This window comes from Homo sapiens, chromosome 13, assembly GCF_000001405.40.
Source record: "Homo sapiens chromosome 13, GRCh38.p14 Primary Assembly".
NCBI classification, from domain to species: Eukaryota; Metazoa; Chordata; class Mammalia; order Primates; family Hominidae; genus Homo; species Homo sapiens.
In genome coordinates, this window is record NC_000013.11 from 85,056,364 (window position 1) to 85,082,754 (window position 26,391).

At 34.0% G+C, this 26,391-nt stretch overlaps 1 long non-coding RNA gene across 1 annotated transcript in view; it reads right to left on the reverse strand.

The window, feature by feature from the left end:
• Positions 1-8,723: 8,723 nt before the first annotated feature.
• The window catches only part of LINC00375 (long intergenic non-protein coding RNA 375), an 82,971-nt gene continuing 65,303 nt past the window's right edge, over positions 8,724-26,391 (reverse strand). The window contains exons 2-6 of the long non-coding RNA NR_126383.1: positions 22,399-22,557; positions 20,440-20,619; positions 18,681-18,781; positions 11,637-11,665; positions 8,724-8,855 (exon numbers count right to left, since the gene is read on the reverse strand). This is a non-coding gene — a long non-coding RNA (long intergenic non-protein coding RNA 375). The remainder of the gene's footprint in view (positions 8,856-11,636; positions 11,666-18,680; positions 18,782-20,439; positions 20,620-22,398; positions 22,558-26,391) is intronic.

The window sequence follows — 26,391 nt, forward strand, 5'->3', positions numbered from 1 at the left end:
ATTTAGACTATTTCAAAAGTATGTATAAGGTATGCTTAAATGCATATGATTGAAGTACTAATGTTACATAATTGTTTAAATGTGCTACTGGTATATAAACATTTTTCTTTTAACAGTGTTTTATTAAATAAAATATACATTTGCTTATTTTCTGAGAGCACACATTAGTATATGTGTTGTAAAATATAAAAATTGAGCCTTTGGTAAAATTTTGAAGTCTAAATGTCGTGAATACAATATGGTTTTTGTCGGGATCAGTAGACCAATAATACTTTGTGATCAAGGCTCCTGTGTTATTTCCCCAAAGTGTTCCATAAAAGGGTTGTGTCCGGGTCATCGACTTCATCGGCCTTTTGCAAAAACTGCTGTCAATTTAATTATAGTCAAAGAGATCTGTGTTCTATATGATTAACCATAAAATAGAGTTCATTTCCTTGGAATGAATACATCTTATTATAACATTCTACATATTATAATTTTCTGGGTATGGAAAGTATAAATCACATTTGAAAATTATATAATCACATTTTCTTTCCTACAAGAATTCAGTCATCCAGTACTTGTGCAATGGAAAAATATTCCCCTGCCTTCATCACATAATTATTGCAATCTTCACTTTTTTGAGGGAAAGAAATGTTAAAAGTTATAGTCTAGAACTTTCCATTGCTTATAGGAGCTGCTCACAGTAAGGCTCACCTCAAGTATTAAACGCCACAAATGAAATACAATATGGTTGAGCTTAGGGACATAATTGGAACAAAACAAAACAAAAATACACTTGTAAAAAATTTAACTTTACATTATAGTTTCTTCATGAAATATTGTCTGTAGTGTTTCATAGAAAAAAATTAAAAGTAAAACACAATAAAATTCACATATTATCAGAGGACCCCCAAATTACTAACTGCTTCAATAATAATAAAGGCCAGGTATTATCAAATATGACATATATGATATTTACACTTAATTTTATTTATAATTGTTTTATAAATCAATGTTATTAAAGTGTATTTTGAAAAAAATTTATATAAAATATCTAAAGGAAGAGATCTTATAGAAGTTTTTAAAACCTATTTAGGAAATAATTTGCCATTTGCTTGTAAATTTATATGAAGACTTTATTCACCCTATAAGTATTCCCCCAACCGCCAGATATCTTGTGAGGCAAATGTTTAAAGAAGACATCACAGATGAGGAAAAACATAAAATTGGCACATATAAATGTAACAATAATTTTTAAAGTACAGATAGGTTGATTTAACATGCAATATAAAAATAAAAACAAACGGACAAATTTGGATACCTAAAATTATCCTAATGTGGAAGGTGAAGTGTGTCCAAATGTTCAGACTAAATACACAGTACAGCAGGGTCATTTACAAGTCTAGTTTAAAATGTGAGGTGCCATGTGTGGAGAAAAAAATATTGGCTGGAAGCAGGTTCAATTAGATGGATTCACTCGTGATTAAAAGAAAACATCCAATAAGCATGTATTAACTAAATATTCAGATGCTATCATTGTTACACTTCTCTTGAATTTTACAGGTTCCCTTTGTTATGATTATTTCCATTCATGTGTTTTAGAAATAGAAATCTATAGTTTGTTCACATTTCTGTAGTAAGATGCTTTCTGTATTCAAATACACTTTATATTGACAAAATATTATCCAATTTATTTTAAGTTTTTAAAAGTTTTTGCAGGCTGCATTACCACATATTTGTCAATATTGCATTTAATTTGTCAAATATATGTAAAATGGTATAATGGTATTTGTGCTCCTATTTTTAAATTTTTTTTTTTTTTTTTTTTTGAGACAGGGTCTTACTCTGTCACCCAGGCTGGAGTTCAGTGGTGCATTCATCGCTCACTGATGCCTTGACTTCTCCAGGCTCAGGTGATTCTCCCACTTCAGCCTCCCGAATAGCAGGGACTACAGGCACATGCCACCATGTCCAGCTAATTTTTTTTGTATTTTTTGTAGAAAACAGTTTTTGGCATGTTACCCAGGCTGGTCTTGAACCCTTGGGCTCAAGGAATCCACCCGCTTTGGCCTCCCAAAATGCTAGAGGACAAGTGTGAGCCACCGTGCACAGCTTGTTTTTACATTTTTAATCTGTTTATTTTACATATAGTTTAAACTTACATTTTATTGCTAATAAGAACAAAGAACATTATCAGCTGTTACAAGTTAAGTTTTCTATTACTTTTTTTGCCCTACAAAAAAAGCAACTATATTTGTAAATTAATTTATGAAAAGGAAGAGTCTGGGAATCATTTTATAAGCAATTCAAATAAAACAGAGTTTATATGCATAGAAAACACAGTATTGGTGTTTTAAAAACAAACATATAATGTGAATTATTAGCTTATATTTAATATTCCTATTTTAAATATAAAACTTTTATAATATAACTTTTTTAATTTGAAAATGGCCAAGAAACTTTCTATTTTTTACAACAGAAATAACATGGCACAAAAAACGTAATTAATTTTGACAGAGTAAATATTTCTGTTCTTTACGGATATGAAATAAATTGAATCTTTGTCATATATAGTCAATATATTAGCCTACACTGTGCTGGTTATATCATTTACATATTTTATTTGTGTCAGTAAACACAAAATCATAAATTGACTCATTTTACATCTTCCAATTATGACAAACTTGTCAACTATTAATATTTGGATTTTTGCATCAATACTAAATCAATGTTTGCATAAACCACTTACGTTAGAAAACTGTAGTCTGTGCATCCAACTGAATAAGAAATTGCAAGGTGAAAACAGGCTGTCTTTAAGTACCAATATCATCAATGATTAACAGAAATGGAATGGTTTAAAAATACATGAGTCAATCTCAACTATTTTTAATGGAAAGATGTGTGTGTGTCTTTTCCTCAAAATGGATTGTTCTGAGGTAAATATAAACAAGGAAAGGCATATACTGTTCCATTTTCTGTCACATTTTGAGCAACATGATAAATCAAAAAAGTTGGATTTGATTAAAAAATTATATTCTGCATCTCTACCTACACCTTACTATTATGCTATTATTGCTAATTCTTAAACTATCCGTAACATGCTAGTTTTCAGATGTATCATTATGCTTACACAAGTCATTTAAGGTTTTGTGCATTCTCATTCATATTATTTTAGTAGTCTTACCATAAGAAATTATATTTTAGAAACTCCTTAATCATATATTAAATTGCCCTCAAGAGCTTTCTTGATTTTAACCCTCTGTATACCATCCTCTGATTCCATTATTAATTTGCAGATGATTCACATAGAAGACGTTTGTCTTTTTCTTGGCAAGCATATTAATAATGAAATCATTGCTAATCTTAATTATCTTAATTTGTAATGTCACTTTCATCTATTATATTCCAATGTTTTATGTTAATTGCCAACAGAACACAAAAACATAAACTATATCTTTGAAAAATATTAGTTTACTTTTCTCATGCAGTTTTGGCATTTGGAAGAATAAAAATATTGATCTCTTAGCAAAACAGTATGGTTTATTGTGGATGCCTTTCCAAAATGCTCTTTTTTTTTTCATTTTATGTCAAAATAATTAGGTTACAAGATGGGACAAAACAAATCTGGTGAAAACATTTTACTGAAATCACATTTATTGTGTGACACAGAGGGTTTCAAGCCTAAACAGTCTTGTTCTAGAGTACACGGCAATATCAAGTTTGTGATTTACCTTATATATGCATATTTCTGTCTGACAGGAGCAGAATTTAGAGTGAATCACCTCGTTCAGGAAGTCAGTTTAATGTCATGAAAATTAAAAAGAAGGCCGGGCGCGGTGGCTCACGCCTGTAATCCCAGCACTTTGGGAGGCCGAGGCGGGTGGATCATAAGGTCAGGAGATCGAGACCGTCCTGGCTAACACAGTGAAACCCCGTCTCTACTAAAAATACAAACAATTAGCCAGGCATGGTGGCACGCGCCTGTAGTCCCAACTACTCAGGAGGCTGAGGCAGGAGAATGGCGTGAACCCGGGAGGCAGAGCTTGCAGTGGGCTGAGATGGCGCCACTGTACTCCAGCCTGGGCGACAGAGGGAGACTCCGTCTCAAAAGAAAAAAAAAAAAGAAAATTAAAAAGAAATTCAAATATTACTACTATTGTATGCAAGTTGATGGGTTCTAAAACTAATCATCTTCCAGGGTTGGCAAACTATGGTGCTGCTGAATAAACCCTGTCACCAATCTGTTTGTGTTGAAAAAGAAATGAAAAATTCGACCCATTTGTCCAGTGTTGATTATGTCAGCTTTTATGCTACAATGACACAGTTGAGGATTGGCAAAAAAAAAAATTGGCCATATGGCCTTCAAACCCTAAAATATTTAGAATCTGGCGCTTTATTGGAAAAATGTATAAACCTCTGAGATCTGAATTATCTTAACTCTGAATCTTTTTTAAAAAAGCATTATGCTAGATCATTGAGGAAATGTTCATCCCCATTCTATCTCTAAATGATTTTTTGGTTTTATCTTGAATAATTTGATTTTTTATGTTATCTAGCAAAGTTTAATTGCTACAAATTTACATAAAATATGTAGACATGTAATTTCCCTGAATTAAAAAAATTACAGTTAGTCAATATTTTAATAGGTCTCTTTTTACTTAGTTCTTTTATGTTTTGCTTCATATTTATAACAGTGATTTTATGATAGTTAATATATACAGTTTTTTCTCAGTATCTGTGGGGTATTGGTTCCAGGAGCTCCAGCAGATAGCTATATGCTCATGTTCCCATATCTAAAATGGCATAGTATTGGCATATAACCTATGAAATCCTCCAGTGTATTTTAAATCATCTCAAAATTACTTATAATACATAATGCAATGTAAATGCTATGTAAATACTTGTTATGCTGTATTATTTAGGGAATAATGACCAAAACAAGTTTGTAAATGTTTAGTATGCAAGCATTTTATTTTTTCAAGTATTTTCCATTGTGGTTTGTTGAGTCCACAGATACAGACCCCATGGATAGGAAAGGCTAACTCTGTATATCCTTTGATTTTAGCTTTGTGAGTTTGTATTTCAAACAATAATGGTAATGAATTAAATAAATCTTCATCTTAATGGGAAGAAATAGGAAATTGTTGAATACTATTCAAACAGTTCAAAAAAATTACACAACATTAGTTTGGCCTGTCATGCTTCCAACTCAGACCAAGTAAAAAAATGGCAATGAGAAAACATATATATATAATTTAATGGCATATTAAGTACATTATATACAAATATATACAAATAGGGATACATTAACTTCTTCTGTAGGAGCACATACACAAACACACAAACATGATGTAGGAAGGCTTGTGTATAAAATAGGAAAAAAGTTGTTGTTCCTAATCTCATACTCAACAGACAATACCACTGTGACCCAATCAGCGTTCTCCAGCACAAGATGGGTGTCCTGTAATTCCATTCAATCTGACGCTACCTGAAGATAGTGTCAGAACCCGCAGGTTAAGGGCTCTGTCCCCAAAGACTGTCCCCCTCTTCAGATGCCATTCACAAGAGTAGGCTCCAGGTTTTTCACAGCTTTTGTCTTATTTGGTTGGAAATCAGAGCTTTCCACAACTCTCTCCTTGGGCTACATCATTTTCTAGAGAGACTAACAAAACTCAAAAAAGTGCTTTACTGACTTTCTCTGGTTTATTCTAAAGGATAACACAAAGGATACAGATGAACAGCCAGACAGAAGAGATTAATAGGGTAAGGTATGGGAAGGGGTGGGGAACTTCCATGTCCTCTCCATGTGTGCCACCTTCCTAGCACCTCCATGTGCCCAGCAACCTGGAAACTCTCTGAACTTTATATTTCGGGGATTTTTATGGAGGCTTCATAATAATTGATCACACAGGAATGATCAATTACTATCAAAATCTCCAGCCCCTCTCTCCTTCCAGAAATGCAAGATGGAGCTAAAATTTCCAATTTTCTCATAAAGCCTGGTCATTAGGGTGATCAGCCCCATCTAGAAACCCAGTAAGAGTTGCCTCGTTAGAACAAAAGACACTTCTGCTACCCAGGAATTTCCAAAGGATTAGGAGCTCTGTGACAGAAACCTGGCCCAAAGACCACATATTAGACAAAAAATATGTGTACAGTACCCTTACTGCTCAGGAAATTACAAGGGTTTTAGAAGCTCTGTGACAGAAATGGAGCAGAAACCAAATATAAATTTTTTATTTCACAGTATCACAGCCTGTGAGAATCCTTCAATCATATCCTGCTATTGTATTTATTACTTTGTCCAACCAAAAAAGATATGCAATTTTTGGAAAATCCTTGGTCACTCAGTAGTAATGCATCCTTTTTTCACATTCAAAATCCAGATATTAACATAATACCGCTAATATATACTTGTAATTCTTTTAACTCTTTAACAATCGATGATTGCCAAAAGAGATATAGAAACATACAATTTACTGTAGAAAATTTAAGAGCAAAAAAATATTTGTCAGGAAGCCAAAAGAGTTAATTTTGAAATTGTGTTTTCACAACAAACATCCAAATAAAGGTATTCCTTGGTAGAATATTAGGGTTGAGAGTTTTGAGGAAAGATTATGGTTTACAGTACAGTTTTAGAAATTATCAACAGATACATACTTGTTACATTTTTGCTAGTAAATTTGGTCTTCAAGAGAAAGCATTTGTATATCAATAAAGTAGAGAAAAAAGCAAATAATATTTAACATATTTCTGATTTATTTTGCAAAAATGTCACTAGCATAATTCTGATTCCATGAATTCAAGATAGATATGTCTGTAAAAGATAACATTTCACTTGGGTGTTTGTTTTGGAAAGGAACAATATATCTCTTATTGCCCTATTATGTCATGAGTATACAAGAGTCAAAAGGAATGATATCTCTGAATCTTAACACTCACCTCCTTTTAGTCAAGATACAAAAGATCACACATACAAATCTACTGAATTACCAAGTCATAGATTTTATTTTATTTTATTATTTATTTATGGCATTTTTTTTTTTTTTTGACAGAGTTTTGCTCTTGTCAACTGGCTGGAGTGCAATGGCGCGATCTCAGCTCACAGCAACCTCTGCCTCCCGGACTCAAGCGATTCTCCTGCCTCAGCTTCCTGAGTAGCTGGGATTACTGGCACCCGCCACCATGCCCGGCTAATTTTTGTATTTTTGGCAGAGATGGGGCCCACCATGTTGGCTAGGTTAGTCTTGAACTCCTGACCTCAGGTGATCCGTCTGCCATGGCCTCTCAAAGTGCTGCGATTATAGGCATGAGCCACCACTCCCAGCCAGTAGATACTTAAATTATTAGTCAATTTCTTGGTTACTGTGATTATGATAATGTGACCCAGCATAATACATTTAGGAAAGCTGTAACTCTAACAAAGGAAAAGAGCAATTTTTTTTCTTTTCTTTTTTTTTTTTTTTTTTTTTTGAGACTGAGTCTCTGTTGCCCAGGCTGGAGTGCAGTGGCGCGATCTTGGCTCACTGCAACCTCCGCCTCCCGGATTCAAGCAATTCTCCTGACAGCCTCCTGAGTAGCTGGGATTACAGGCACGCCCCACCATGCCCGACTCATTTTTGTATTTTTAATAAAAACGGGGGTTTTGCCATGTTGGCCCAGCCGGTCTCGAACTCCTGACCTCAGATGATCCGCCTGCCTCGGCCTCCCAAAGTGCTGGGATTCAGGCGTGAGCCACCTCTCCCAGCGGAAAAGAGCAATGTTTAAATTTACAAATCAGTGTTACAGTGATAGGAATAGATATGTATATATGTAATCTTATCTTTCAGAAAATGTCATTCATGTATCTGTTCATAGTATCAATCAATCTTGATGCTGAGAATTAAAATTTAATAATATATTTTTATTAGTAAAAAAGAAAGGTAACTGAAAAGGGCATTAACATTTTTTTTTTTTTTCTTTTGAGATGGAGTCTCACTCTGTCACCCAGGCTGGAGTGCAGTGGCGCGATCTCGGCTCACTGCAAGCTCAAACTCCCGGGTTCACACCATTCTCCTGCCTCAGCCTCCCTAGTAGCTGGGACTACAGGTGCCCGCCACCACGCCCGGCTAATTTTTTTGTATTTTTAGTAGAGACGGGGTTTCCCCTTGTTAGCCAGGATGGTCTCGATCTCCTGACCTTGTGATCCACCCGCCCCGTTCTCCCAAAGTGCTGGGATTACAGGCGTGAGCTACCGCGCCCGGCCAGGCTTTAACTTTTAAAAAGCTGTTTTACAACTTATGGGCTAAGGAGTACATTGAAGTTGTGTGGGCTCATTAGTTTTCTCAGAGACTCATTGTGGAGTGGCATGTCTTTATAGACTGTGGCCTTCCAGCATCTGTTTAACGGCAAGTTTGAGTGTCTGACCAAAGCAAGATCCTATTGCGGCTGTTTTATAGACACATTCTTCAGTACTAAACTCAGTGATATTGAAAGAGATGAAGAGAGACATAGAGTTGGGATGGAGAAAACTGTTAAAAATGAAACAGGTGTATTAAAATATTCTTTAAAAATTCACAAGGTGTGCCAAGTTTGGTTTTTCGATAGACATCTTTTTAACACTGACAAGATCCATCACGTAACAGAGAACCTAGTGTTCACCTTGAATATTTAGCTCTTGAACAATTTTAGTTCAATTCAATTACAGCTTTGTGAGTGTAACATACTAGAAATGAAGTTGTTTATCAAATTCACTAGAATAATTACAGATTTATATGTTTTAATGCTGAGTGTATGGGTCCCATCTTGTTTCTTTTAAATCACTGCAGTTCCACACTGCTTTTTTCTTCATAAGCTTTACTTCACTTCCAGATATCTGATAGTTTTCTAAGTTCCTTAAAACAACAGAAAATGAAAGCGTTTTTGATTAAATAAAACCCTTAAGATGAATTCACATAGTTAATTTAGGCAAACATTAATAGTTCTCTGAACTCTCTAAGATGCACAACTAAAATTAAGTTCAAACATGTTCCTATTATAAGAATTACATTAATTCAAATACATTCCTTTTACAAGGATTACATTAGATCATGAACTTTACATCCATGGATGCTGTATTTCTATTCTCCTACTTTTGTAGACTTAGTATGTGGCTCCTTGCCACCTTCATCTGATTGTTCTTAATTATACTGTTTACACACATAACTCTTCACATTAAATAAAATATTTTAAAGTTTTCAGTTGGTTTATTGTGCTAACTGAAGTGTTTTTGTGTAATGACACTCAGATGATGTCAATAGAAACATATTATTAGAGATGATTATGCAATTTTCTGGAATTCAGTGGTGTTTCCATGATATTTAAATTCATTTTTACCAGAAGCAAGTAGCTGGAAAACAAATGATGGCAAATCTAAGACAAAGATATCATTTTTCATTATCTTCAATAATAGTATAGTCTATTGTTATTTGGTTAAAACAAAAGAGAGACTAATAATCAACATCATTATATTTTGAGTGAGTAGGTCGTATAGGTTTGATTAGTCAAATATATATGTAAAATAAAACATGTAATAAGGACATTTGTTTTTCATAAACTTAATACTTGCACTAAAATAATCTAAACATCGTGACATATCATATGAATATATGAAGTATTAATATATTAAATTTCCATTAATAAAGCTTTAAAAATTAACATGTAAATAATAATAATTATAATATAAGTTAAGATTGTGTAATGAGAGTAGTTTATTATTCAAAACACTTATTTTACATGATCTTTAAAGTAATTGTTTCTTTTTAAGTATTCCTTTCCTATGATGTTGAACCATGGCATGGATGATGACTTTCTATAATAGTTCAGGGTTCCAAAACACTATATGTATTGTATTTCAAATAACTTGTTTCTGGGTCTTGCATAGTTTGTTTAGATAATAGAATAGCTGAAATCACAAATGAAACGGCATGTAGAATATACCACTCAGGAAAATCAAGTTGCTGTTTTCAAAATATACCTATTAACTCCTTCAGGAAAACTTACTTTTGTTAAATTCATTTATTATACACATAGAGAAAATATTGCAGCTGAAACTGAGTCCTATAATGCAGTCATATAATGAAGTAAGAATGAATTAAATATCTGGAGGAGAGATTGGCCAATTTCCATTAAGTAGGCTGGGGCCATTTTGGAGTGGGAGTACTTCTAGCATTTCCCTCAGGGTGGCTATGACCAAGATACAAAAGCAGGAGAAAATGATAAAAATACCAAAGGGGAGCACATAAGAAGGGAGTGAGTGTAGGATGGTAACACAGGCCATAGAAAAAGAGCAAAAGGATTCATGAACAAGTCCAATTGTTGCCCATTGTGAAGCCACATATGTCTTCACGAGAGGCCACATAGAGGAACTAAGTTGAATCTGGTTTGACTTGTTCCCCCATGCAGGATTTGCAGACCAGTATGAGGGAACAGTGTGCACACTGTTCCTATCTGAGGTAGAGAGAGGTGTCCTAAGCAAGGTATAAGCAAATGTCTTTATAAATTCATTTTCAGGGAATTTGAAAGACGTTCCTGGAGGAGGCAGCACTGAAGAATGGGTAAGGTTTATACCTGTATTGTTGCTGAATACAATTATAATACTCAGGTTTTAGGATAAAAAGCATGTTCATAAATTGCCAAAATAAAAGATAGATTATTTCTAGATGCAATATGTGCTGATATCCTATACCTTCTTAAACATTACCTTTAATCTATTAAGGCTTTTCCTTCCCTGTAACTATTTTTCTCATTTATCTATTTGTATTTCTTCACTTTGTTTTAACATCTGCCTTTAGAGTCACTTTTTAAATAATTTTCTTAGAGTGTTTTTATTTCATTTGGGCTCTTGGATACTTCATGTAAAGAAGTTATGAATCAAATTTTTACTAATTCCTTAACTGAGATTTATATTACTATTACTTCCTTATTCTCTGACCTGTCCAGTAACGTTGATGACAATGAATAATACCTGCCTTTTCTCCTGTCCCAAACACTTTATTAGACTCCTCAAATTATCTAGAATTAAATTCTACAGAAAAAAAATCAAACAGGTGTATTGATCTCATTCAATAGATGAGATCAGTGAGCCTCCAAAAGGTTAAGTTACTTTCCTAAATGTTAATCCCAGTCTCACTGATGCCAAAGCCCCAGGCTTCTTCATGGTTATATTCCGTGCACTTCTGTAGAGCTGGCAGAGCCAAGCCTAGAGACTGTGTCTTAACTTCCTAGCCCTTCCAATGTATGTCTGACTGCATTTGAAAACTGCAGGTACTTATAGCACAGCTGGAAGAAATGGAGAAAGAAAGGATTATATTTTTTCATATTACCCTATGAAGATCAGAACAATCTACCAGATTATTATTTATATATGATAAAAAAATGAGCTAAACCATTTAAATCAACCCTTTGGGTTAGAGAGGTCAAAATAGTGAAATTGATGACCCAGCAGGCAATCTTTCTTGTGCTTTTTTTCCTTTCCTAAAGTACCATGTGTTGTTATATATGTCCTTGGAGAAACTATGTGTTTAATATTTAGTCTACTTAATATTTTAACTCTGAGCTATTGCTCACTGAGGCAGAAATCTGGATACTGAAGTCATACAGCTAAGTCCTATTAGAAGGCTAAAGAAACTACTTACAATTTCAGAATGTTGATCTGGGCCATTTGCTGTGAATTGCAATGAGGCAGAAAATGCATTTTAGAGTTTGCTGTATTAGAGATAATGGAACTACTTTGCTCAAGAATGAAGAGATAATTTAAATATAATTTTTTGCTTCATATACAATCTCACTATATGTTTTAGAGTCACTTGTATTATATAATGCTTATCTTTGCAGTTTTAATGTGACTATGACATTTTATTAGCTTCAAATGCCTATTCCCCAGATTTACTATCACACTGTTGCCCTACCCACCCCACCCCACTCCACCGCACCCCCATTTTTATGGAAATGGATCTCCTTTTTAGTGGTTGCTTTTCTGACTTCTGCCTTGAAGACAGTTCTTGACCTCTCACTGATGCGTCAGTGCTATGCTGTGACAGCTGTCATATATTTGCAGATCTGCTTTGAATGCTTTGTTTGTATAACATCCCTTCACTTCACCTTTTTCCATGTTTTTGATGCCACTCGCTCAGCTTAATCTACTTGTGATGTGAAATGAATGAGTTTTCTTACACACACATGAAAAGGAGAAGTGAAGGAAAAAGACAGGAAAATCCAAACATGAGACAGTTTTGGACAACTATTGGTTGGGGGATTCCAAGGTTAAAAGTGTGAATTACTTTCAGACCTGGGTTGATGAAAATTTTTATGCCATTTGTAGCTCTATTTAGCTTTGTGATGCATCCAATCTTATGGATAGCATAATCATTCGCATATAACCTGTAATATTATGCTGTTGACACATTTTAAAACAATAGTGAAATCCTAACACCATAAGATAAAGGATTTATTATTCTTATTTTATAAACAGACATTCTTAAGAGATTCCATAATGTACTTTGAGACATTTTCTGAGGTGGGCATCTGAAGCTCAGCTTGTAGTTTTTGTCATCCAGTTAATCAGTAAGATTTTATGGCGTTTGCCTCATAACAATTTGTATGGACAATCTTTCATTAACCTCTGCTTCTGCATTTTACTCTTATCACCAGGTCCAAATCACATCCCCAGGAAGTAAACTAAGTTTTATTTGCTAAAATGTGTTTATAATATATGTATGTGTGTATATGTGCTAAATACAGTAAGTTAAAAAAATTGACAATAAAGAATGACTGGTCTCAAGGATCCAGTGGTTTAGTGGATGTTTTGTTAGATTTATTCAAGAGATTTTGTTTTCATATTGCTTGATGGTGTCTTTTAAGAGGTGTCCATATATTTATTACAGTCTGTTTCTCTTTTGTGGCTTTCATTTCCAAACTTTTTTCTCTCTTTTTATCACTGAACAAAAAGTATGTACTGCACCCAGCTGGCAACTAACATAATTATACTAGCTAGCTGTCTTTACAAATACCACTCTACTATCTTCATTGATGTGATTTATGACTTTGACCGAACTTTTCCAGTAAATTCTTGCTAAGGTAGATAAAAGTTGCTCATTGTATTGCCCATTGTTTTTCTTCATTTATTTATTTTTATTTTACTTTAAGTTCTGGGATACATGTGCTGAACGTGCAGTTTGTTACATAGGTACACATGTGCCCTGGTGGTTTGCTGCACCTATCAACCCATCATCTAGGTTTTAAACCCCACATGCATTAGGTATTTGTCCTAATGCTCTCACTCCCCTTGCCCTCGACCCTCCGACAGGCTCCTGTGTGTGATGTTCCCCTCCCTGTCTCTGTGTTCTTATTGTTCAACTCCCACTTATGAGTGAGAACATGCGGTGTTTGGTTTTCTGTTCCAGTCTCATAATCCCATTTTAAGTAAGTCAAAATGTTCAACTTTCTATAGACAGTATCAAATAATTAATCCTCCAAGACCATTAAAAACCTTATGGAAGGCCAGATATGGTGGCTTATGCCTGTAATCCTAGCATTTTGGGAGGCCAAGGCAGGCAGATCACCTGAGGTCAGGAGCTCGAGACCAGCCTGGCTAACATGGTGAAACCCTGCCACTAGTAAAAATACAAGGATTAGCAGAGCATGGTGGCAGGAGCCTGTAGTCCAGCTACTCGGGTGACTGAGGCAGGAGAATCACTTGAACCCAAGAGACGCAGGTTGCAGTGAGTTGAGACTGCGACACTGCACTCCAGCCTGGGCTACAGAGCAAGATTCTGTCTCAAAAAAAGAAAATTTAAAAAAATTTAAAACCTTATAAAGCTGTTTAAGTATTACTATTGGGAAGCCAGAATTTGACAATTTTGGAGGTCCAAGGAGAACAAAATTAAGCTGTTTTCCTCTCTATGTCACAATGCTTTCCATTCAGAAACAGCACTTGCTTCTGCAAGTCCTTGGGCATGTAGCTTGAGTGTCTCTCAGAACATGATAATTATCGGTAATTAATTAGATTGTGTCTGAATGTTAATTTCTTTGCATCAAAGCTCCTCAAATACCAATTTAATTTCCTATCCTTGTGTTAAAAAAACCTTTCCTAGAGACCCTTTGATCATCTGATCAGATGTGAAAACTTCCGTTCTTTTCTTTGTGTTAAGAACACTGTTATTTGTCTCTCTCTCCCGCCTGCCCCTTTTTGTTACATGTCTTTTAATAGGAAAGTACTCAAGAAAGAAGATAGACATAGACCCCAGTAAGCCCACTCTTCAAGCCAAACCTGGTGAATAAAAAATTCAGAGCGTTCCTTATACTAGCATTCTTTAGTCCAACTTTACCTCAGGTCACTTATCAAAACTTTCTAAGGAGTTTCCACAGTGTTTTCTTGTTTTGTCTGTGAACATTTGAATCTGAGAGAGATCCCTTAACAATACTTTCTAACAAAAAGTGCAAAATAGTTGGGTGAACAAATTAGTTGGTCACAGTCCAGACATTAGGCTGAGGGTCCCAAAACATGAAGTCATAGCAACTATTTTAGCAACAATTTCAGTGGGTTTATTTTAGTCCAAATTTTAGACAGTGTTCCCTCTGGGACTTACTACTACTTCATAAATGTATTTATGCTATAACTCATATTGGTAGACTGATATTTTAAATGCTATAATTTAAAATTACATTGGCCAATTGTGGAAACTTGATACAAAAACTGTATTGCTTAAGAGGTGCCTTAGAATCAAAAGGGAGCAATATTTCAAATACTAAATGCAAGTGCTTATTTCAGATAATGTTTGGCAGTGTATCAAATAAAAGGTTACAATTTAATGTGGCATCATGACATTTACAAAATTGTGAAATCATCACTACACATTAGGTTAGATAATTTTCATCTTCCTAAGAAGAGATCCTATACCTACTAGCTGGGGCCCAATATCTCTTTTCCCCAACTCACTGACTCCTTCAGTCCTTGGCAACTACGATTCTACTTTCTATTTCAGTAGATTTTCCTATTCTGGACCTTTTATAAAAATTGAAATATACAACACATGGTCTTTTATGACTATATTATTTTCCACAGAAAAAATGTTATGACATCTTGATATATATATACCACAGTTTCCTTAATCAATCCACTGTTGATGGGCACTTAGATTGATTCCATGTCTTTGTTGTATAAATCTTTTGCACTTTTAAAATAGTTTTTAATATATATATTATATATTATATATATAGGTACTAAAATTGACAAAATTCAACACAGGAAATTAAACTCTTACCCAGAAAGAACATAAGCTGGGTAAAATTTTCCCAAGCCAAAAACTGAGACACAATTTGAGAGGATTCCTGTGTATTAATAATGACTGCAGATCACAGATTCCATAATGATTACATTAAAGTATGACATCACTATATGGATTAACCATGTTCTCAGCAACTTTACCTTTTCCTAGAAAGCCCCAATATAAATAGTACTTTTAAGGGTTAAAATGAGCTCTTCAATCACTTTCTTCTTTCCTAAGCAGAAACATTATGTAATAACATCAGAAATCCGTCCACTTGATTTCACATTTCATCTATCTATTCGGTCTTTCTAATTAAATACCCTAACCTCCTTAATACCCTAACAACTCAATAGTCTTTCTCCTCATTTCATTGTCTTCTGTGATTAAAAACAACAATGACAACAGCAACAAAACACCTAGGTGAACATACTCTTCTGTTGTTTCTCTGCTTGCACTCAAGCAGCTGAGTTCTCTGGGAATAAATCATAATGTGTGAAAACAGGTACTACTATTAATTCATCATCACTCACATAAAAATGGCAAAAGAGCAATCCATAAAAACCAATTTTCTTCGTTCTTTCTTCCTTTCATAGTCCCATGAATAAACTCCCTAACACACCTTTAAGTTGACATATGAAATTTTTATACTTTTATTAAATTGCAAAGATGTAATTTTTGCCATATTGTATATCATATAAATTCTTTAATGAAATTTAAATAAGATTTCATTAAAACTTCAGAGCAGCATATTTTTCTTGTTTCATGTATGTAAAATGTCTGTTATGTAAACGAATTGGCAAGGCCAGACTCCATAGTCAAACCAATCAGCTACATCAGGCCTACTTTCTGTCAGAAAGTGTCTTACATCATTTTTCAATTTGAATAGAAACATTAATACATGCCCTCATGACAAACACATTACTTTTGAAATTTGACTCTAATATAACTATCAACTAGCTAAAGCATGAAGACTTGCCATGATTTTGTCATTTTTATGTAATCAATTACTGTCCCCTTTAATATTTCTTGCTTAGCCTCTATGGGGGATATATTTTAGAATCAAATTGACTCTTTGTCATCCTAGAAGGATCCAGAAATGCATTATGTTGTTAATAATTGAAATGTTTTGTGTGTTTGTGGAGAAAAATGGATGATTGTGAAAGAGGTAGAAAAGCAGAACTGAAAAACTCTCTTCAGACATTACTCCTCTAGGAAAGAGTGCATTTTGGAAAATGAGATACTGAAAATATCTCAACCAATCTGCTGCCTTAATAGTCTTAGATTTATCTTTATACACATACTTTGGAGATCACAGCAATTCTACCACATTCCTTTGTTGATAAATTTGTTGATACGCCTTGCGAACCCCAAAAATTTGAGACAGGTCTCAGTTAATTTAAAAAGCTTATTTTGCCTAGGTTGAGGACACGCCCACAACACACCCCCAGGATGTCCTGATGACATGTGCCCAAGGTCGTGAGGGCACAGATGGTTTTATACATTTAGGAAGACATAAGACATCAATCAATATATACAAGAAGTACATTGGTTCGGTCTGGAAAGGTGAGACAACTTGATGCAAAGGCAGGAAAGAAGACTCAAAATGGGGAGAGAGCTTCCAGGTCACAGATAGGTGATACATAAATAGTTCTTTTGAGTTTCTTATTAGCCTTTCCAAAGCAGACAAATCAGATATCCATCTATCTCAGTGAGCAGAGGAGTGGCTTTGAATAGAATGGGAGGCAGGTCTGCCCTAAGCAATTTCCAGCTGGAGTTTTCCTTAGTGATCTTGGGGGCCCAAGATATTTTCCTTTCACAACCTGCAATAATTTTTCTGAGGCTCTGCTATCCTCAAACCTTGTCATCAATGGTGACTCCTTTTCTTCTTCTTTTTTTTAATTTTTATTTTTTTGAGACAGGATCCTGCTCTGAAGCCCAGGTTGGCAGTTGATGCTTTTCCATGTAACTTTTAGTCAATTTTTTAAACATTTATTTTTTAATAAACTTAATACGTTTAATGAAATATTGTGTTGTGTAGGAATTGCAGGGGTTTTGTTTGTTTGTTTGTTTGTTTTTTGAGATGGAGTCTTGTTCTGTTACCCAGGCTAGAGTGCAATGGCATGATCTCAACTCACTGAAACCTCCAGCTTCCGGATTCAAGTGATTTTCCTGCCTCAGACTCCCAAGTAGCTGGGAATTACAGGCATGCGCCACCACGCCTGGCTAATTTTTGTATTTTTAGTAGAGACAGGGTTTCACCATGTTGGCCAGGCTGATCTCCAACTTCTGACATCAGGTGATCTGCCTGCCTCAGCCTCCCAAAGTGCTGGGATTACAGGGGTGAGCCAGCATGCCCGGCCAGAATTGCAGTTTTTAACTATTATCTTTCAATATTTTTTGTCTTATTTGCCATGAATTATTTTATAATTCAACATTGAAAATAAATCCTTTTATTCTAATTCGTAAATTTTGGAGAATTGCATATCTCTCTTATATCCATAAAAAATCAAAATATTATTTAATTGCATTTTACAGTTTCATAAATGCCTTGAGGAACATCATCTCCCTTTTGGGAAGTTATGCCAAGAAATCCTTGCATGACATTGTTTTATAAAGGAAAAGACTGAGATATCCAGTACTAAATGAGGTATTAGATAATGCTTTGAGGGAAAGTGGAATTAAATTCACACAGATCAGACTCCTTCTCTTTCTGTGGAAGCACATCCAAAACTTTTATCCATTGTCAAAAAAAAGGCATTTCACAGTATATATTCCAAACGTAATTAAAAGTATTGGAGGACAGGTGAAATTTATTGGCCAGAATTGGAATTTTATTGATTTATTGAATCAAACTGATGGATTAGGAAACTCCAAGACTCTATAAGTATAAAGTATTTAATAAGACACGTTAAATAAAATCCTGATAAAAATTTATATAAGCAAAATAGCAAATTTAGTGATCTAGTGACAAATTATCAGGTATATCAGTGACTGAGAAAATAAAGATTTCATTAAATCTAAGCTTGGAATCATCTTAGTTACTTCAAGGGAAATATTTGATGTATATTACATGACATATATATGAAATGTGCATATGCATTTTTATTGCTGACTTGCAAACCTCTTCCTGTAAACTTACAAACTATTCCCAGTGGGAAATAGTTTAGTTAGACTAAGACATCAGATAAGTGCAAGAGACATAAAGTAAGAGTGGCTTAAAAAATGGCAGGTAGATTTGATTATTACACATTGTAGGCCTGTCTAAAAACATCATGTATACTTTATACATATATACAACTATTATGAACCCATAACATTAAAAAAATTGAAAAACAAATTTTTAAAAAGAAAAATTATTTCTCTGTCATGTAAAAGTTGGAGCTTGTCAGGCATGCTATTTCAAAAAGTTACCTGGAGTCCAGCTCCTTGTGTATTATGGCCACACAATCTCTATGGAATGTTTTCATTCATACACTCACAGACAACTCACGACCCGGTGTTTACAGCAGACGCTGAGAGGTGAAAAGAGAAAATAAATGACATAGACCCACCTTCTAAGGAAACAACCAGGAAATTGTACACATTAATTCCGCCTATATTCTTTGCCAGAATATACCCATACCTGGCTGCAAAACGAACACAAATAACTGGAGTATATCATCTGTATTCTAGCTAGGTGTGAGCCCAGTATAAATTCACACTATGAAAATGGCGAAAAAAAGAAATTGGCATGTACAACTTTCAGAATTTGCAATTTGGGAGGTACGAGATTAACTAAAAATGTCAAAATTAGCAAGTCAAAGTCAGATCTTAAATATATGTAGGTACTATTTTGTATGCTTATTTACATTTTTATTTCTAAAGGGGCAGTATACTTCACTAAAAACTTTCCAAACATAAATACCAAACATTAAGAAGTAGAAATGCTTTCATTTCACTGAAAAATTTCTCATGTAGATACGTTTTATTTTCTGTAACTGCAGGTATAATTTTAAATGATAATATAAGTCCTCTAATGCTTGCCAGAAAAAAAATTTTAATAGGACTTCTATATTTATATTAAAGGATTGTACAAATGGTAATAAAGACTTAAAATTTGATAAATGAATGGTTTTGACATAGAATGTCACACAAGAAGATTAAATAATATTATTGCTTTTTTCATTGAATAAATGGTTGTAAAAAAGTATTTGTACTCAAGTGTTTTCTACCCAATAAACTATAATATCTCCTGGAAAAATATTCAGTGCCTTGCCACTATTAAACATCAATCAATTTCTTTTAATATGGCTGGTATATTGGAACATATTAGTAGACAGGCAAATAATTGTTGCTTTCATAAAGACTGTATTCTGTTGGGAGACACTTGAATCTAATTATGCACAAATCATAATAAATGCATGATTACCAACTGAGATTTTTGACTATTAAAGAAACCATTCATGTAAATGAAAATAAATAAATCTTAATTAGGATAGGGATTGGGGTAGGGCTTTAGCGGCTATTCTGTAGAAATAACTGTTTATTTTAGATTTGAAAGGTAAGTAATTTTAAAGAGGCTCGAGAAGAATACAATGAAAAGAAGAAACAGCATGGACTCTTCTACAAGGAGGGAAGGAACATGAGAGATTTGTGAAACTGAGAAACCAACCAGCATTTAGAAATTAATGGAAGGTGCAGTGTGAGATGAATATGAAGTTGTTGGCAGAGACAAGATCACTCTAGGTCATAAAACCCACCATGTCAGCTATTTTTATATTAATCCTAAGAGAAATGTGATTTAATCACAGAGGCAGCACATACAGGGGTTAAAATCATAGATTCTGAAATCCCAGCTCTGCTATTTACTAGCTGTGTGACCTTCATAACTTCCTCCTGACAGTTTTTTTTCTCTGAAATGAGAATAACATATTATCTGCTTCTTAGAGTTCTTATGGGTATAATTGAATTTATAATCTTAAAGTATTTAAAACACTGCCAAGATCATAATAAATGCCAGGTAAGAATTTGATAAATGTGCATTTGAAAATGTAAAACACGAGAGGCTAAAATGAAAACCTAGTATTTAAGAAGTTAATTTTGCAGCCTAGTTTAGAGAAGCTGATAACCAAGGACTCCTAGTTTTCTGACTTTCAGAGACTCTGTTCTTGTTTCTAAATGCTAAGATTACCTGAGAGAAGCCACTTTGCAATGTGTATGCTTCCCATTGACGTTTGTCACCATGCTTCACCTCCAAATTGGGACCATGAGTCCAGCCTTTGCTCTTCTCCACGAACTGAATTATGCATAGGGCTTCCATTCTACTCATCCCAGGAAGAAACAGTCCCCATAGGATGTCTTCCCTGTGGAACTAATTATGGTTATTAATTGTATGCAAAATTAAACTGTAAAGTGGAGTAAAAGCTTTGTGCAGAAGCATAATATTTAATTGAGTGCTAATTCTATTGTGATTATTTTAAATAATAGGAGCGTGGTAGTTAAAAAAAATGTATAGCAATGGTTTGCTGGACAGCTAAAAAAAACCCTGTAAAAAAAAAACCTGTCCAGGTTTTTTACCTGGACAGGTAAAAAACCCTGCATATGATCACAAATGCCAAGGTATTCAAAAGATGGTTTATTTTATTTGTCAGTCAAAATGTATTGCTCAATTTGATTTGCTCTAACATTCTCTCACACTTGATCCTCATGTTGTGTAGGAAATATTTTCAGATTACATGCAGAAAACTACCTATGAAGACATCAATCAGGGCAGCAAAACTAGTACTGGATTTTCTAAATGTATCCTAAAGGATAGACCTGAAATTGATGAGGGAGAATGAAGATGTGGCTTTTTTTGTGTTATATTCATTGTCCTAATATATCTTATAGTGCTTGCAAATTTGATTTTCTTAAACCATACATGGAATACAGTTGTTTGTCAAGGGTTAAAAAGCATTGCAAGTTCTGAAGTAAACATGTACAAAGGTCATACATAGTATCCATACTGATTCAGGGAGGCTTTGTTGTGAAAAAGACACTTATATTTTCCTTCAGAGTTGAAACTATTTCTTACAAAATTGAAAGTAGATAATAGATTATAAATCAGTAAATCAGCAAAATGTTACCTTATCCAGGGGATGTCTAACATGAGGTCAGTTAAAATGAATAATTACTTTAAAGCTGAGGTGTGGATCATCTTGGTATCCTTCCAAATCCCAGATGTCCTACCTGAAATCAAGTCCAACCTCTTTAACAACCTCTCCAAAACAATCTTGATTGCTTCGTGTTCATACATCATAAATTGGTTTAAAATAGAGAGGCACAATATCCAAGATAGTATAGAATCATAAGAAAACTTTTAAAAACTCTTATAAAAATATAAATGCATTAATTTTAGCAATATTTGGAGCAAAATTATGTGTAGTTTTATGAATGCATATTTTATTAATACGTGGATTTTTCTATGAAATTATCAGGCTTAGTATGCTTTATTTCAAGCATAAGATAGACAGTAACGAAATGGGTTTACTTTATTTTTCATTGCAAATATGCCAACAGCTAATCACCTATTTTATTTTTTAAATTGTTTATGTCTTGAGAAAACAAAACTATCTAAAGTTAAGCCTCGCTGAAAGAGTAAGCATTGTTTATTTGTGTTAACATATACATTATCGAGCATCTATTTGGCATAGAGAATCTTGTCTAATCATTTTGATTTGGTAGTATCTGAAGTCATTCCCTTTTTTCATATTTATTTGCAATATGAAAATGTTTCCAATTTGAAGATAAGTTAATTTTTTCATTTTTCTGAGAAAATAGAGACAAAAAGATGTTTTAATAACTAGCTTATATTGAAAAATTGAGTTTTAGCACGTAACCTTTTCAAGCTAGTTATATTTGAGATAATTAGTAAGGATAAGCAATGTCTAGAAGCTGAGTAAGTCATAATTAATTTCAGCTATCTCTGGTAAAAAATATTCATGGATGAAAGAAATTTCAGAAAGAATTTTATTTGACTAAAATTAGCAAGAAAATAATTAATCCAGGAAAATTTTCTTGATAAACCATAGGTAGGTTGATATTCATTAATTTTCTCAAAGATAACAAGGTCACCTTTTCAGCTCTAATACCAGCACTCTCTTAGCAATACCTGATCTGCATAGATATTGATTTCTCCTTCAGTTCTCAAATTGGGTTCACTGGTCGAGTTGTAAGGAGCTCCCTCTGCACTACTTGTTGCTGATCAAGGTCTGTTTATTAAGAGTGAAGCTGCTTAGCTTTTCCAAGATTCCACCAAGATAATCAGAATCTGGAATATTCAAAACAGTTTTTTTAAAAATACACACACGTGGAGAAAAAGGCAATTAGAAGAAATCAAAATGCAGTTTGAAATAATCTATAGCAAAAGGAAATAGAATCTTATAGAATAATATATTTTTAAAACCTATGTAAACACACAATTATTTGGAAATCTAAGTTATTATTATTATATAACCTTCTTGATAGATGGGAAATAAACTAAATATTATGGTTAAAGTAACCATAATTTATACATAAAACAAAGAAAATAATTTTTAAGAAACATTCTGCAAAGATATACACACGTGTAAAACTGATGCAAAGCAAGAGAATATTATTATATAAAACATTACATCATCAAGATTTATTTGTGCATTTCTACTGCATGCTACTAAACTAATATTTTTCCATCCTAAAAATCCAAATTCTTAACTCCTAAGAAATAATATCTCTATATTTCTGTGGCCTTTTTTGCTAGGCCTGAGTTTAAATTTGCCCAAGTGCCACACATGAGCTCAGGTGCTATTTAATTCATTCCCCTGCAGGTGAATAGGGTATATATATGTGGACCTTTATAACTTCTACTACTTTGCTGTAGTGCTGAGGGCTGTTTGTGGTGGCTTACAGAATGAGAAATCAATTAAAATATCTCAACGGGCAGTACAGTGTATTGCGCTGTAATCATGTTATATATATTCATAGACATAGATAAAGTTTTCTCTACTGTTATTTTACGTATGTTACTCTAGGAAGTTAGAACTCTCACTCAACGAAGTAGAATAAAAACTCAATCATATAATAACAGAAAAAATTTTTCAATATACAATAGAATTTTTTTCCACAAAGCACTGAAGCAACAATAATTAAACGTGTTAATGGTTAACACAGTCGGAGGATCAACATAACAGTATCAACTGTGTTGGATATAGGCAAAGTTGGGCAAACCAAAATCAATATCACCACTAGAACAAACAAAAAATTAAAATAAAATTCAAGCACAATTTATGGATTTCAACAAGTGTGTTTGATTACTAATACCTAGATTAAAACAAAATGAAAGAAATTACAGTGAGATAAAAAGTATTTGTTTCTCATAACAATATCCATAGTAAATAGCAAAGTTTCTTAGGCCTGCAATACACGCTAAAAACAATTGAGTGCATGCATGAATGAATGAATGAAAGAATGAATACATCCTTATTCTTTGCTTTGTCTTAAATTACATTTGGTGCAATTGTAGAAAATACAGTAATTTCTTAATGGAAGAACATGCAGCAGTTTGGTGATTCAACTAACTACAATGGGATAAGGTTATTGTGGTCCTCTGTAATTTAGATTTAAAAGGAATAGTTTTCTGAGAGATGTCAGATGAAAAGGCTATCCCCAAAAAAGAAACCATTGTTTCTTTGGCATTTTCTGCTCTCCCACTGCAAAGCCTCTCTTCTGCAAATGTGGAAAATATATAAAAATGATTGTCTAACAGGGAGGCTATGATTACTTTGCTTAAAATCATATTTTGTTGGATACATCTGTGTAAGAATTTTCCAGTTAAAAATGAAGTTATATTGAATGTGGATTTAATGTTAACGACCCTTAGATTTTCCTATTTATATGTTTCAAACTAATAAGAGCTAACCCAAAAATAGTGTGATAGGAAAAATAATGGCCTCCCAAAAATATCTATGTCCTAATCTCCAGAATTTGTGACTACATTCTGTTACATGACAAGGGGCGATTAAGGTTACAGCTGGAATTAAGTTTGCTAATTTGATTACTTTCAAATCAGAAGATTATCCTTGGCTAACCCCAGTGCAACCAATGTAATCATAGGATCCTTACATGGGGAAGAAGGGGTAGAATTGTCAGAATCAGAGAGATGGGAGAGAAGGAGGCTCAGAGAAAATGACAACTTAATCTTGCTGGTGTTGAAGATAAAGGAATGTGGCCACAAGATAAGGACTAGGGGTGGCCTGTAGAAGCTGAAAAGGCAAGTAAATGAATTCTACCCTAAAGCCTCTAGAAAGTAATGCAGCCGTACAGGTATGGTGAGTTTAGGCAGTAAGTCCTAGTTCAGACTCCTGACATAGCAAACTGAAAGATAACAAATTTGGGTTATTTTAAGCCACTATGTTTATAGTAATTTGTTACAGCAGCAATAGAAAACTAATAACCTGGGTAGTTTATTTAATCTTAATAGTAACTATAAATGGTGAATGCAGTTAACAAATGTCACATTGTGATGGGAACATATTGATGCAACTGAATTTTATTTTAATATTCTGAATGAAAAATTATGAATTTCCAACCATCAATAAAATGTATGTACATACCTCCAAAGTGATCAGTAAATTCCCGCTCTGACAATAATCCCCTATGTCTCAACATATAATGTTTACTTAAATGCAATGAAGAAAAATACCTAAGACAGCTGAGCTACAGAAAGAAAAATAGAACTGTGTATGACAGAAAAATTCCTACAAGAACTGGAGATAAGATTTTAAGGTCACAGATCTCTGAGCTATAATTGTGCAGTGGTTGTGCTGGTTTGCTTCCCATGGCCAGAAACAGGATTAAAGTTAGGCTCACTGCATGAAGCCTGGATCCGATGGAGACCCACAGAAACCCTCCCTCATGAAAAGAGACTGAGAAAACTCCTGACACATACCACTTTTTTCAAATGCCAACATGTGCTTTGGTCGACTATATGCTAGTGACAAAGAAAGACACAGACACAAAACGTTTAAATCTAAACCATTCAGTTTCTCTGAGGATGGATCTCCATTTCCCAATTCATCTTTGCATAGTGAACCTTAACATTAATTATGAGGCATCTTTCTGAGTCTGAGTCCTGAAGTGCTAAGTGAAGGCAAAAATACAGCATCAACAACAACTATTAAAAAGCCTTGACAGTATTAGTAAAGGAATGCTTTATTTATTGTATTGAAAGCATGGATACATGTATAGCAATCCCAGGGCCTTTTGAGTGTTTCAGAGTTGTGGCATTAATAATAATCTCAACCCTATCTGACCTCTGAAGTTAGTTAATATAAGGTCAGTGGCAAGTAAGGAGTGGGGCCTTGATACATGGAAGGGGGACATTTGTAAAGAATCAGATAAGATTAAAAACCGTAAGACCCCCGGACACTTGAAACTCCTTCCTCAGCCAAATAGTCTTTGCATCACTATTGGAGGGAACTTGCCATCCCTGCATAACAACTTCCAAGGACTTCACCAGCTGCAGTTGCCACACAACCAAAACTCTTCAGGATCCCAACCCACAAGCCCTAATTACCTCCAGCCTAGAGTGCAATGTAGATCTCAAAATATCCCAGTCACAGAAATACAAAACATAGTATGGAAGAAGATAGGCTATAAAAATAAATTTTTTAAAAAGTTGTTTGCCCTCACCTATTTATATAGGCAAAGGTAAATTTCTCAGAAGGAAACAGATGACAAACTGAAAAGGAGTAATTTGGAGTGAATATTTCCAAAGGCATTTGAGCATCCTTGAAAAGATGTACAGTCACCTGAGCTTACTGACTTCTGTAGGTCATAGGGGATATTGGACGATGTTGCAATGAATTGAGTTTCCAGCTATCAATGGGAATAATGGGATCCTAGCACAATAGAGGCCAAATGGTACTGTTAACCATCAAAGGCAAGGATAAATGCAAGCCATCAGGCATCTGAGTATATGGCTAATTGGTTATAGTGTCAAGAAATACCTAAGAAATAGAAAAACTTTAAATTATGGCTTCCCATAAAATTTTGCAAATAATAAAAATGATGCTTATTATAAGTTTAATAGGAAGACAAAGAAGTTGAACCAATAGGGTGGAGATTC